The sequence below is a fragment of the Homo sapiens genome, chromosome 10 (assembly GCF_000001405.40).
Source record: "Homo sapiens chromosome 10, GRCh38.p14 Primary Assembly".
Classification (NCBI taxonomy): Eukaryota; Metazoa; Chordata; class Mammalia; order Primates; family Hominidae; genus Homo; species Homo sapiens.
Genome location: NC_000010.11, coordinates 50,515,620 through 50,531,232, shown reverse-complemented (window position 1 = coordinate 50,531,232; position 15,613 = coordinate 50,515,620). Strand labels below are relative to the sequence as shown.

Sequence of the window (15,613 nt, the reverse complement as noted above, 5' to 3'; positions counted from 1 at the left end):
ATGGGTGATAGCAAGATTTTCACTGATAACAAGCTTCAGATCAATCAGGTGGTGGCACTGAGGTATAAATGGTGCCTGCCCTAGCTAAGTGAGGTGACGACTTTCTGAATAGTGAAGTAGTTGTTGAATTTTCAGAAAATCTTTTATTTCTGTTTTTTTTTCTGGGATTGTCCTGTATAAAAGACCACATCCAAATGGTTTTCCTAGAAGGTCCTGTGTTAGGGACCATCCTGTTTGTGAAACCTCCCTGCTCAATATGTTTTCAGTCATCTTATCTAGTACTTTTTAACTTGAAATAAGAAAAAGGTGTTTATTTCTACATTTTCAGTGCCTCCCCTTCAGGTATCCTTTTCCCTAAGGCACACTTTAGTATTATCCTCATAGATTTTTAGTGAAAATAGAAGAAACCACACTGCATTTGCATGTATTATATAAACTATTGTTAAAAAAGAGGACGCAGTGGTTCATGCCTGCAATCCCAGTGCTTCGAGAGGCCGAGGCGGGAGCATTGCTTGAGGCCAGGAGTTTGAGACCAGCTTGGGTAACACAGCAAGACCCTGTCAGCACAGAAAAAAAAAAAATTAGCCAGATGTGGTGGCACATACGTGTAGTCTTAGCTACTTGGGAGGCTGAGGCGGGAGGATCGCTTGGAGCCCAGGAATTCAAGTCTACAGTGAGCTATAATTGCGCTAACTGCACTCAAGCCTGGGCGACACAGTGAGACCCTGTCTCTAAAAAAAGAAGATTCTGCTTCTCAGTACTTCGGTGGAAAGCCCTTTTATATGTTTTCCCTTGATTAGAATTATGTGGCTTGCCCATTTCCCTTTCTGTCCCATTAGAAATTTAGAAATAATTTTAATGTTCAGTCACACTGACAGCATTATCAAGTTAATTTTTAATCATGTAATGAAATGAGCTGCTAATGATGGTGTTAGAAAATTTTAGAAAAATATCCATTTGGCTGTGTCTTTAAGATTTTTGGACAGAAAAGCACATACAGTTTAATTGACTATAAGAAGGCCAGGAATTTTGGAGGAAACACTAGGGCCAAAAAAATTCTGATGAAGCTCATCTAAAATAATTAAGTTATGTGTTAACAGGGTGGCTGATCATTAGTTTGTGGAAACTTCTTATTTTAGGCAATGTGCAGGTTTTCAGGAGATGGGATGATGATTGAGAAAGACGGTGGCTATTTAGGAGTATTTAGTATACAGAGGGCCTGTGCTGCTTTTTCACTTTAAAGGAAATAGTGAAGATTGGACGAGGAAATTGCAAAGAATATTGGAGGAAAGAAAACTCCTCTTTTATGGTGTGGGATTTTTTATGTAAGCAGTGTTAGTCATCCCTCCTCTGGGTCCTCCAGTACATGGTTCTCCTTTGCCAAAAGCACCAATTGTATGGTACGGTATAGTAATTAATTGTTTAGAGTCTGTCCCTCCATTCAACCATTGTTGGCCCAGCCTTGTTCTTCTTTATTTCTGCTGTGTCAAGCACAATGCTACGATAAATTTTTGCATATATGATTCATATTTCTGAAATAGTCGATTAGATGGCATTTTTAGACCTGTAAGTATTTAATAATATTGGCAAATATTTTGAATAGTCAAAGGGAATAGGGAGGCATTTTTCACCCCCAAAGTGTAAGATGTACTCATTCAAAAAAAGTTCAGAAAATCGAACCTCCTGTAATTCCACGTTTTCTGACTATTAAGTTTCAAAGAGCAGTTTAATAATAAGTAATCCTCCTCGGGCAGCCCCTCACACCTTTTTCCTCTACATTTTGTAGTATGGCTGAGTGTGAACATCCATCCATGTTTATTGAAGGCCTAAGTTTACCTAGCATTGTATTGTGGTAAGGATACAGTGGTCTCCAAAATATGGACTTTGCCGTTTCAGGGATGGCAATTACAGTCTGGAAGTATTAGAGGCAGAGTTGAGTCTTAGAATTTACATAGTGAACTTTCTTGCTGCCTTCTTTTTTCTTAAGGACAGGTGACACATAGAAAACCATAAACAAAAATGTTTACAAGTAATTGATTCGAATATTGGTGGTAAGCATGTTCTGCTATTAACAAAATCAGAAATGGATCTTTGGCTTTATCTTTTCCTGCTGTATCCACACCTACCTGAAACACATACACATACCCTGTCTAATGCCATTGATGTTCCTTTGTTTTCCCCATGTTCCAGCTGTAGGAACCAATGTATTGCTGTGGAAATATAGTCACTTTTGAATAGCTATAGCAATTTGTAAATTGCCCATCTCTGACAGTGTTTCCAAGGGACATTCTGACTGAACTGGATGATGGAATGAGATTTCTAGTAGTATGTCACTTTGACCAGTGGCATATCACAACCTCCCAGTCAGTGATTTAGGCTTCTTCTTCTCTTTTTGGAAGAAGGGTCTTGCTCTGTTGCAATCATGGCTCATTGCAGCCTCAGCCTCCTGGGCTCAAGCTATTCTCTCACCTCAGCCTGACTAGGTTTTATTTTTTTGTAGAAACAGAGGTCTCCCTATTTTGCCCAGGCTGTTCTAGGGCTCCTGGACTCAAGCGATCCTTTCACCTTGGCTTCCCAAAGTGCTGGGATTACAGGTGTGAGCTACCACCCAGCCTAGGCTTCTTTAAAGCACAATATGTGCAGTGGGGATTTAGACATTGATAATATTGGAATGTTTCTTGATGAAATTCTGATTGGTGCCAAGGAAATGCTTTGTGGAATGGCTATGTTTCTGACTGCCTCACTGGTAAGTCTTTTGGTTTTAAGAATAGTCCCTGCTGTGTATTGATAGTGTGACCTGGAGTCAATCATTTAACCTCTGAGAGGCTCAGAATCCTCATATGTAAAATCAGTACCATTTGACAAACCCCCGAGTGGTTTTTGAAGATTGAGTAAAATCTGTGTTGTACCTGTTACAGGACTGAGGACAGAGTCGTCCCTCAATACACAGCTGCTCTTACCTCATAAGATGAAAGAATTTTTTATTCTCTAGCATTTTGAAACACAGATTTATCATACTTTTTGGGCTCTAATAATTCATACTTATTGATATCATAAATGAATCCACAATGTATTTCAAATCCTGTAAGTTGCATACTTTTTGGTTTATAGACTGATATTGTGTACTTGGTACTCTTAAATATTACTTAGGAATGAATCTTGAAGCAAAATAGCAGCAACAATTTATTTATTTAGTATTTTTATTATTTTATTTATTTAGTACTTAGAGCCATGTCCTACAACTAAACTCTTTCATAAATTTTCTCATTTAATCCTTAATATGAGGATATTGAAGAGAGAGGTCAAGTAATTTATTTGTTGAAGACCACAGAGCTGCCGTTGGAGGACCTGCCAATCAAATCCAGGCATGTCTGACTTCTAAGCCCATATTCTTAGCCCTCTTCTTTCCCTGCAGCATGTGTTAAATAACTGAGAAGATGGCTCTTCAAGGTGACAGACACAAGTGTTTTTTGGATGACTTTCAGTCTGGGTTGCTACGGAGTGCTTAAACACATCATTTTGTAGTTAAAGGCCTTTTCTTCTTCCTGTTATGTGTCAAGATAGCACAAGTAACCCACAAACGCCACACTTTATTTATGTTCCTACTGGGCCCTTATCATAGTCTGTTCTCACTCTAGTTCTTAGCGGACACGTCTAGGGAGAGGCAGCGTATCAAGTGGCTAGGTGCCTAAGACTCTGAAACTAGATAGCCAGGAGCTGAATCTCAGCTCTGCCAATTACAGGCTGTGCAACCGAGAGCAAGTTATATTTTCTCTCTGTGCCTCAGTTTCTCATCTGTAAATTAGGGATAATAAGTAATACTTTAAAGGGTTGTCTTGAGGTTTAAAAGAGTAAATATATATGTTTACAAGTGTGTGCATGAACACATACACACATGTTGCTTGCAGCACTGCCTGGCATATGGGGAATATTCCACAAGTGTTGGTGATTAACAATAAGGTGATGATGTCCTTTGAGCAATGCTATGGGCTGCACCATTTTCATTTTGACTTTCCCCACAGAGGCCTACCCCACTGCTCCATGCTTGATGGGCACACCGTCAATGTCTACTTACGGAGTGGATGGCTGTGGATGAGCTGCATGGTTGAATACATGGCCAGTTCTTTTTCTTTTCTTTCTTTCTTTTTTTTTTTTTTTTTTTTTTTTTTGAGACAGAGTCTCACTCTGTCACCCAGCTGGAGTGCAGTGGCGATATCTCGGCTCACTGCAACCTCCACCTCACAGGTTCAAGCGATTCTCCTGCCTCAGCCTCCCAAGTAGCTGGGACTACAGGCACATGCCACCATGCCCAGCTAATTTTTGTATTTTTAGTAGAGACAGGGTTTCACCATGTTGGCCAGGATGGTCTCGATCTCTTGACCTCGTGATCCACCTGCCATGGCCTCCCAGAGTGCTATGATTACAGGCGTGAGCCACCGTGCCCGGCCAGCCAGTTCTTTTTCATCTTGAAGTTATATTACTCTCATTGACCTAAACACCCTCTCTTGCCTTTAACAGAATCAGGGATTGAATAACAGGAAGAAGTTGACCCAAGTAAAGTTAAAATTATTTGGCAGTAATAATAGCTAACATTTATGAAGTGCTTGCTACATGATAGGCACAGGGTAAATAAGATTAACTAAACTGAATCCTTTCTCAAACCTCATAAAGCAGTTATTATCCTATTTTGTAAGTGTAAGTTTAATTTGCATTGGTCTTATCCCTGTAGTCAAGAGGTTGTGCATTGAAACAGGGAGATTGTGTGTCTGTATGGTTTAGCTCTGTGTCCACACCCAAATCTCGTGTTGATTTGTAATCCCCATGTGTCAGGGGAGGGACCTGGTGGGAGATGATTGGATCATGGGGGCAGATATCCCCCATGCTGTTCTCATGATAGTGAGTTCTCATGACATCTGATGGTTTGAAAAGTGTGGCACTTCCCCCACCGACCACCCCCTCCTGCTGCCATTAGAAGAAGGTGCTTGCTTCCCTTTCGCCTTCTGCCGTGATTGTAAGTTTCCTGAGGCCTTCCAGTCATGCTTCCTGTTAAGCTTGTGGAACTGTGAGTCAGTTAAACCTCTTTTCTTCATAAATTACCTAGTCTCAGGTAGTTTTCTTAGCACTTTGAGAACAGACTAATACACACGTGAATCCCACAGCACTAGCAGAGCTGGGCTTCCCCTCAGGCCTCCCTGAGTGACTTTTGGCCTGTAGCGAAGCACTCAATAAATGGTTGTATTATTGATTATTATCGCAACTTCTGAGGCAAAAATCACATATTCTACAGGAATACCAATTTGAGAGTTCTACGTTTTAATAATTAACATAGCAACCTTTGTCATGGGTGTACAAACTATAGACTCCTTAGTTAAAATGTCTTGCTTTGGAGAAAGTCATTGTCTTAAAGCTGAAATTCTTATGCTTTAGGCTAAAGTTGTTTTCACTGCTCTGTCTTTGGTGGAAATGGAAAAATGCTATCCATTGCTCATAGCAGAGTAGTGCTTAAAATGATGGTAAGTGGTAGAGTCTCCCTTGTTTTCCCTAGACAAAACTTTCTCTGGGAATTTCGTACCTCAAATTATGTTTCAGTGATTTTTACTTTTCTACTTTTGATTCTTTTCTGTTTTTCAATTTTCCCAAGAAGTGTAGAGCCCAGCATTGATAACTTTGACTTTGCTTGATTTTTATTTTGAAGTGAGGTTAACATCTTCCAGTCAAGGTCCAAGAGACCAAGCATCTTGGTCTCTACCAGTGAAGAAGGGTAACCTGCTTGAGTGATGCCTGTACTGAAATATTGATCCTCTCTGCCTTGCTCTTCATGAGGCTGTCTGGGTGGCATTTGGAAGGAGCACATCATCAGCATTCCTGTTCATGCCTCCTTTACACCCACCTTCACAATCTAGAGCCAGAAACGGGCATATTGGATCTGCGGCACACAGGGCTTAGATGGGGTACAACAGAATTTTTCCTATTCACTAATCTTCACTCATTCAATTTGTGTAGGAGCCAACATGTAACTCCAATAGAGGATGCTATTTGTTACCCAGTATAAGAACTTCTTGAGGATGGAATTGATTTAATTATTCAAATATTCCAGATTCTTTCCTCTGAGAGCTCTTCTTAATCTTTGATTTAATGCTTTTTCTCTAATCCCTAGTAAGAAAATTCTTTCCTATTTCCACCGCTTCTTTTAAACATTATTTTGCTTGAGCCATGTGTATATTACTTGATTCTTAGAAATTGCTGATCACCCTGTCTTGGTAAAATATTTTGGTCTTTATTATGGGCATATCGTTGATGTTAGTTTATAGGTCTCTTTTTGCACCCTCTTCTGAAGGATTCTGATGAGTTACTCTCATCTTATTTTTACCCTTTCAGTGTTGTCATAGGGTCACCATTGACATTCTGGGCCTTTTGCCTGGAAGTACCTATTATGCTGTTAATTTTTCAACTAACTATGTTTCATGCTGTTTGTAATGAAAAGCCTATGAGCTCTGTGGCTCCAGCACTCCCCAGCTGCGTGACATTGGGACGCTGTGTAGTCTTTCTTCATGTTTGCTCATCTGTAAATGGGCTGATAATAATAAATATCACCTACTTTACAGACTTAGTAGTAGCACTAAATAAGATCATACATGTTAAGTGCCCATCCATGCTTAGCATATCAAAAGCACTCAGTGAAGTTTATTTATTATAAAGGTGAGCATAGGGCTGGGGCACTAACCCAGCTTTGAATGGTTAGCATGAAAAAATTTTCACAGTCAAGAGAAGAAAGGAGGAAAAGGGTATTTCATGAAGGGGAATAGCTACAAGTTTTTCACTAGTGATGGAGCATAAAGTGTTAGGAGACGAAATGGTAAGGGGGACTGGGAGCAGTTCATGGAGGTCTTGTTTTATCAAGCCCAGAGGCTCAGACTGCATTTCTGGGAAATGGGTTGCACAGAAGAATTTGTACCTCATTAGGGTGCTGGACACATGCAGACTTGAGGAAACAGAATTCAACAAGATCTACAGGAGACATTGTGATCTGTGAAAAGACTGTTCTAAGAGCCCCAAGAATATTAGGAATGCCTGGACAGTGAGGGGTACAAAAGGACAATAAAGCATTTTGTTTACATCAGATGCTCACTTTTAAGATCTAGGGGACCTGAAGTAGAACCAAAGAAAGGTATAACTTGTCATGCATTGATTCCTTTTGAGAAAATGAATTAGATGAGCTGAAATGTGGATTTCTAATATGAAGAAATTCTGCCCAAGAAGTAGCAAGAGGGTGTCCCACATTTCAGTCTGCAAACTGTGTTTGGAATGCTGCGTGTGTGTGTGCGCATGTGCACACGTGTGCCTTGAGCACAAATCTACTGGCTTGTGCAGGGAAAGACTTGTTCTCCATTTTCCTGTGATTACAAAATCATCTTTTCTCACAGTATTTGATAAAATATTATTCTTCTTTGCTAATATTGATTAGCTTTGTATCTGGGGTTGCAAGTTTTATTTTTGACTGTTTATTTTCTAATTATTTTCTCAACAGTGGTTATAAGTAGACATGGAAATACACCAGAAAATGATTTATATGAAAAGGATTCTTTTCTCCATCCCTAAGAATATGCACATAAACAAGAGAAATTAAGAAGAGCAACTAACTTTCATTACTTAGGGTAGGCTCTACTGTTTTGTTATGCCAGTAGGAGGAAGAGTTATGGAAATAAATGTAAATGCATGTTAGGGTGATAGCCAGCTGGCTATCTGAAGTGAGCTTTTTGGAAGAAACAGGGACATTTCCTTGTCATTTGTTTGCAATTGCCCCACTAATAGAGAACATTTTTCTTGCTACAGTGTTGTGCTTAAGGTAAGCACATACATTTGTAAGAAACAGATTGTTAGAAAGTGAGTTTCTTTGAAATCTTTAAGTAAAGAGCATTTATTATACATTGAAAGTATTTGAGTCTTAACCCTTCCCAGTAGAGCAGACCTGTCTTCCTCAATCATCATTTACTATTAAAGGCATAAAGAGAAAAAGAGAGAAGTAATGGGTGCTGGTCTTGCCTCCTAAGGTAAACAACTAGAAAAAAGGACTACTATCTATGAGGCTGTGGTTTTCAGGCAGTGAACAGCAGGCATCCGGAACTGTGATCCTTGAGAGAAGAGAATCACAAGAGGGGGACTCACATTTGCCCTGGTTTCCTGCTTGAACACTTTCCCCGCTGTGATATAGGGAGGTGAACCCTAGCAGAGCATGGTGGTCTCATAGCATTGAGAAAGCAGAGACTGGAGTTTAAGGCTGCTGAAGTGGCTGAGATTTGTATGGCAGGGTACTGGAGAGGAGGGAGCTACTTGAGGGGTGAGGCCCTGCAGAGAGCAGCTGCTACTAGGCTAAGAACAGAATGGCGGTACCAGAGGTCATGTATTACTGAGAAAGATTGGGTTTCTGGCCTAGCCAAGGTGAAGAGACCTTGCTGAATACCTTAGCCATTCTACCGAGACATCACATAGCCATTCTGTTGAGACATCACATCCTAGGAATAAAGACCATCCATACCTTACAGTAAGGGCCATAAGCTTGGACTAAGGACATAAGTGAAATAGACTCATCTTAACCAAGTGTAAAATGAAGCTTGGCAGGATCAAGAGGACCCACCAGTAATTTAGCTGCCACCAGAGCCAAACTGAACACCCTCCAATTGTTTACCTTATAATGGAAAGAAGCATGCAAAGTAACAGGGGATTGTGACTCATATTCAAAATAATAATCAATAGGTATGAACAATGACTATAAAAGTGGGTAATACCAGATTTTGGTCTCTAACAGCATTCTCCTTGGAAAGGAACCAGTGCTTTTTGGAGAATTGACAGGATCCAGGTTAGAGACAGGGTAGATACAAGATGAGCCCATAACATTTTTTTTTTAATATCAGAAAGTAAGGGAATAAAAGTAAGAAAATATTTTTAAAAGATGGAGTATGTCACAGGGATAAAGGAGCCAGCTTGAAGGGCTTCCCACTGGCTAAGTCTGAGACAGCTGGAGCACCAAAATACTTAAGTACAAGGATAAATTATAAGTCACTGAAAAAATAGGACTTCATGTATCTCAGGTGATCATAAATAGATATATTGGTAAACAATGTATAATGCTGAGTAATGAATGGTAATATGGAGGGATTGCTGGAGTTGGAAAAGTCAGCATGTTGCAGCCATCACAGTATAAAGTTTTTATCAGGCAGACATCACTAATGGATACTAAATCTAGGGGGAAATTTTGATGAGGGACAAGATATTTACATGGTCTTAAAGTGTCTTCCCACAGATTACTTGTTAGCTGCAAGGGAAAAAGTAGTAATTTTTCATTGGAAAAGTTGGACAACACCTTGGCTGGGTGATCAAAATTAGCATAACCAAGCTGGGGCAGATAGACTTTTTGTGCCTTTAGATGTGATATCCAGAGAAGAAAATATCACTTTTGTAGTTTTCTGAGAATGCAGAAAACTACACGATTATTCTGAACTGAATCCTCAGGAATCACCTGAGGAAATGTCATGAAAGTCAAAATAGAGATGTTCTATTAATATAAAAAGGGGGAGAGGCTATATTCTTCTAAAGTGTCAGTATCATAAAAGACAAAGGAAAGCTGGTGTGGTTCAGGTGAAAGGAAGCTGAAAAGTAATGGCAGCTAAATGCAGTATCTGACCCTGGACTGGATCTGAATTGGAGGAAAGAGAAATACTATAAAGGACATTATTAGGTTAACTGAATATGGCAGTAGATTAAACTATTATATAACTTTTAAATTTACTAAGGCTGATAGCTATATTGTGGTTATGTAAGAGAATATTCTTATTCTTAGGAAATAAATTCTGAAGTATTTAGAGGTAAAATGCTGTGTTGTATTGCACTTATCTCCTTAAGGCTCAGAAAAAAAGTCAAATGAATGAATGGACAGTGAGTGAATGGTTAAATAAATGTTGATAATAAGTGAATCTGGGTAAAAAGTACCTGGATACTTTTGTACTATTATTATTCTACAACTCTTCTGTAAGCTTGAAATTATTTCCAAATACAAAAATTTAAAGGCCAGTTATGGTAGTTCATACCTGTAATCCCAGCACTTTGGAAGGCTGAGGTGGGAAGATCACTTGAGTCCAAGATTTCGAGACCCAGCACATAGCAAGACCCCATCTCTACTAAAAAAAAAATCAACTGGGCATGGTGGCATGCACCAGAAGGCCTAGCTGTTTGGGAGGCTGAGGTGGGAGGATTGCTTCAGCCCATGGGCTGCAGTGAGCCATGATTATGCCACTGCACTCAGCCTGAGACTCTGTCTCAAAGAAAAAAAAAAAGAAAATAAAACAAAAAATCCCAGCAAGTATAACTATGATTTAAAGAGAAAAGTAGAGTATGCAGAAAAGATAAGGTGTTTCTTAACTACCTTTGTGTGGATTTTCTACCCTTTGGGTTGTCTGTGCTAAATACATTAATCCTATCGCAGTGTCAGTCACTTAGCATGCAAAGCCATTCTATCTCTGTTGGCGTATCTATGAGTATCTATGCAGGAAGAAAGAATAAATATTGCTGTTCAAGTTGAAACTATTTTGTTATATGGTGTCATGGAAGAGTTTGGAGCAAGGGTTGGTAGAGCTGGGCACTGATTTCTTCTTTGACACTTGCTGGCTGAGTGATTGGGGGAAAGTTCCCCAACCTTTGGGAATTTCAGCTGCTGCATTTTAAAATGGTGCTAGTCTGTTCTCAAGATCTTATGGCTCCAATGAGAAAATGCATGTGAAAGCTCTTTGTAAATAATAATGATTTCTTCTGCAAATATTAAGTTACTGTTAATAAGACATTAATAGTTTTTTTTTTGAGATGGGGTCTTGCTGTGTTGCCCAGGCTAGAGTGCAATCACGGCGCACTGCAGCCTCCACCTCCCATTCTTAAGTGATCCTTTTACCTGAGCCTACCGAGTAGCTGGTACCACAGGTAAATACCACCATATCTGGCTATTTTAAAAATTATTTGTAGAGAAAAGGTCTTGCTATATTGCCCAGGCTGGTCTCAAACTCCTGGGCTCAAGTGATCCTCCCACCTCAGCCTCCCAAAGTGCTGAGATTACAGGTGTGAGCCACTGTGCCCTGCCCCTGTTAATAGTTTTAGTTAAAATGGCTTAGACTGAGGTAGAGTTTCCTTAATCCAGGTGGCCCTTATTTCTCTCACAAATCAAGTTTTTAATTGATTTGATTATATGAGAGAGTTGCTTTTCCAAGTGGGCCCTTTTGTTCCTTCTGGTTGCTTCCTTCCTCATTTTCTGCCCTTATTATTCCAGGTAAAGCTTCAGCGACTGAAGGAGTGTGGACTTTTTGAATTTCAAGAACAGTAAAGTTGGAACACAGCAGAGGGTGTGTAATAAAATACAGGTAAGTCAGAATCAGCATTTCACCCATTCTCAAAGAACTCATGGTTCTGAAGTTCCTTGTAATCACTCTTGCTTTGTTCTGAGATTGTATGTGAGGCTCTGATGGCATAAGGGGATCTTCCAGGCCTTTGTGGTGCCCAAGGGCAAAATTAGCCAACAAAAGGCCTGTGTGGTTTGGAAAAAGTAGGAAACACACTTAAAGAGGCCAGCTCCCCCACTGGAGAAGGCAAGCAATCTGGGCCGGGGTGGTAGAAATGCATAAAGCAAAGGCCACAGGAAAGAGTGTCAGCCTGAGTCTCTGGAAATGACAGAAAAGGATGCTGCTGAATTTGAAGTCACATAAACCAGGTAGGAAAGGTTCTAGGATAATGTTAGTTGGGGGCATGCCTTTTCCCTTAATCTGGAATTGCTTTTGATGGAGGCTTTCGTCCTGGAAGATCACGGTTACCAGGTCTGCCTTCTTCTCTGGAGTTGAACAGGTAAGTCCAGTGCTGCTCAGAGTGCTAACCTGAGATGAAATAAAGAGCTTGACCTAGAACGTAAAAGTTAGATGAACGAAACAGTGTCTCTAGTGTTATCGTTGATTCTATGTCTGTTTCTATGTTCTATTTCTGTGTCTGTGTATATGTTGATTACTATGTCTGTATATATAATCTCCAAACAATATATTGCTTAGCTTTAATTTTAAGCTTGAACAGAATAGTATATTGCATGTAGTGTTCTGCAGCTTGCATTTTTTTTTGCCCTGTTATGTTGTAAGATTTACTTGTTGCATGTAACGGTAGTAAATTAATTTTTCTGGTTAAGTTAAATTCTATGGTGAGAATTGATCACAGTTTATCTGTTGTCTCCCTTCCCTCCAATCTTTGGTATTTTGTTGCCCCGCTAGTGGGTTTAAAATAGTATATCATTGTCATCTTTATTTGCATTTTCCTGATTAATAGTGCAATTGAACATCTTTGATATCCTTTGGAGAACAGAGTGCATACTTTTAATTTAGACAAAAATTTCAGTCTCTTCTTGTATAGTGAATGAAACTTGTTTCTTCTTTGTTTTTTGAAAGATAGTCTAAAAATTTTGAAACTGTTTATATGGCACAAATATTTTCATTGTGGCGGGGTGCGATGGCTCATGCCTGTAATCCCAGAACTTTGGGAGGCTGAGGCAGGCAGATCACCTAAGGTCAGGAGTTCTAGACCAGCCTGGCCAACATGGTGTCTTTACTAAAAATATAAAAATTAGCCGGGAATGGTGGCACGTGCCTGTAATCTCAGCTACTAGGGAGGCTGAAGCACGAGAATCACTTGAACCCAGGAGGCGGAGGTTGCAATGAGCCAAGATCATGCCATTGCACTCCAGCCTGGGCAACAAGAGCGAAACACCATCTCAAAAACAAACAAACAAACAAACTAAAAACATTTTTATTGCTAATCTTTGTTTTTCCTTTTCTTTTGAGTTGAACTTCTTGTTGGTTTATATTCTTATTCAATTTTTCTTTCTCTGCTGATTTGGAAATTATAACTTGTATTTCTGTTCTTCTAATGATTATCCTGAAAATATACTGTGCACACATAGAAGTTTTAAAGTCAGTCAGTATTTAAGGTATTCTAATCCCCTTCTGGAATAATACAAAACTCATAGTATACCTAATGAAGACTCCCTCCTTCTGTACATAGATGTTCTTTTCAGCATATCTGTTTTATTATTTGTTTCACCATACAAATTAGTCAATTTTATTGTATAGAGATGGTATTTGTTTAACTGTACATGCTTATCATTTCTTATTCCTCTTCCTTTCTTCTATCCTTACGTTTCCCCTGATGAGATTTAGCTTCTTCAGAATTTTTTCTTTTCCTGAGAATCTTTTGGTGGTAACTTCTCTCAATTTTGGTTTCTGAAATGTCTTTATTTCACTCTTACAGCTCTTAGTTGATAGTTATTTTTTTTCCCAGTGTTGTGAACATACTGTTCCATTGTCCATAGCTTTCATTTTTGCCGTCAGGACATCTGTTTATCTTTCATTTGCTATTTTTTTTAGTAGATGATTTGACTTACTCTAAGTTTGTTTATTTGTCTTTGGTGTTCAGCAGTTTCATTACAATGTGTCTATTTAGAGCTTTCTTTTAAGAATTCTGTTTATATTTTTCGTATTTCATGTATCTATCCATTTATTTCATTTATCCACCCTAAACATTTTTCAGCTCTCAATGCTTGAATGCTGCCTTTTCTTCATTCTCTCTGTCATCTTCTGGTTTTGATTAAATGGAGGTTAGAACTTCTCTTTTTATCCTTTATGTCTCTTAATTTCTGTTCAGTATTTTCTTTCTTGTTTTTCCCTGCTTTATTCTGTAATTTAAGATTTAGCTTTTAGTTCAATACTTCTCTCTTTAGCTGTGTTGGCTCTTCTGTTTAGCCTATCCATTGACTTTTTAATTCAAATGGGTATGTTTTTTAAATTTCTAAAATCTTTATTTCTGTCTTAAATCTGCCTGAGTATTTTTTGATGGTTTCATTTTGCTTGCTCATTTTTTGGCCTCATCATTAAACAGTTATTTCATATCCTATATTTGATATTGCCAGTATCTGAAATCCTTGGTGGTCTAAATGGTTTTGGGCTTCTTTCCTAGTGTGCAGGGTGAGTATGGATTACATGCTAATATTTGCTTGATAATTATGTCTTGGAATCTTGAAGTATTACTTCTTGAGATTTTGTTTGTGCTAGGAGCCAGGAGGATGCTACAGACCCAGGACCACTTCTCTTCCCTTTGAATACCTATTCCCTTTGGTTTAAAGCTGGGCTTTCTCCACCATGCTGAAACTTGGATGTCTAGTTGCCCCACCCCATTGCTGGTATTCATAGTTACCTCCAGGGCAACTCCAACTTTCTTTTTTGCCCAATCCTGAGTGTTCTTTGCTCAGGAACAGTAGATGTTCCCACTATATTCTCACGGGATTTGTTTCTCTACCTGGAGCTAACCAATGCATTAAAAAGTATTTTTAAATGTAATTTATTCAGACTCTAATTATAGTATAGCAGAAGGGCCTTGCAAATATCTAATCCACCAGAATTCCTGAATTAGGAATGCTCAAATGATTTTTAAAAATCAGTTGTCTCTAAGTACTCTTTATCAATTTATTACTTTCCTTTATTTCACCTAAGGATAAAGAAAATAGTGCAAGAGTGATCTTTTTGAAAGCTAGCTAAACATATGACATACTATATCCTTACACTTTTGCCGGGGTTCTTTTTGTAGTTAATCTATTGAATATTTACTCCCTTGGAAACTGAAATTACCACTCTTGGAATAACTCATTAGAACAGAGTACTTATTCAGCACCAATTTGTTATGCCTCCCAATCTATTTTCTGTCACAATGCCATTTTTCTTTCTATGCAGAGTCTTAGATATAAACGAGTCAGTTGTGGGTCTCTGCCTGTGGATGTGTTTCTTCTTCACATGGAATGCAGAAAATTGATGTTTGCTGTTGTGAATTAGAGGCATCATCTCTGTAAGCTCCATGTTCTTACATTCTGCATCCCCTTAATAGGCATAGAAAGCAGCATGAAATTTTTGGTCTGTAGAATGCTAAGTTGCCTTGGGCTTTGGCACATGAAAAAAGTATTTCAAAGTGGATGTCAAGTGAGGTTGCTGATTTAACAGTTTTTTTTTAATTATTATTCCTTCTGCAGCAGAATAATTACCAATAGACAACCATATGTTTTTAGAGGCTACACAGATCTGACAAGTGTGTGTGTGGATTTTGTGATGAAAGTAATACATTAGGCATGTCTCTAATTTGCAGTCTCTTTGCTTTGTAGATTACAGGTAGGATATTTGTAATACTAGTCTAATTATAGGAAAGACAGGCACTGAAAACATTTCTAGGAAATGCCGAGCTCTGCGATGAGAGATTCTTTGAGGAATTGCCTGGTATTGGCTCTATACTTTCATTTGAAAAATAAAAATATCAGAAAATTGTGTAGCTTTTCCTTGCTTTGATAGCAAATTCTAATGGGTAGTAACTTCCAACTGTGTCCTTGTATTCTTGGGTTTTTCTTGGCGGTCAGTTCAGTCACTGCTGCTAGTTTTTGCTTTCCAAATGGTTGGAAAGCTGAGCACTCCAGAAGCTTCACCTGGGGAGCTGGGGAGGTGATGGAGTAGTACTGGAGATGCTTGTCAGGGATGGCCAGTGCTTCCTGAGTGAGCTTTGC

General features: G+C 38.9%; 1 protein-coding gene across 9 annotated transcripts in view; it reads left to right on the top strand.

The window, feature by feature from the left end:
* Positions 1-15,613, top strand: part of SGMS1 (sphingomyelin synthase 1) — a 319,585-nt gene that overhangs the window by 93,952 nt on the left and 210,020 nt on the right. For all 9 annotated transcript variants that reach the window (XR_007061953.1, XM_047424974.1, NM_147156.4 and 6 more), the window contains one exon: positions 11,312-11,402. The gene's annotated coding sequence lies outside the window, so the exon portion shown is untranslated. The remainder of the gene's footprint in view (positions 1-11,311; positions 11,403-15,613) is intronic.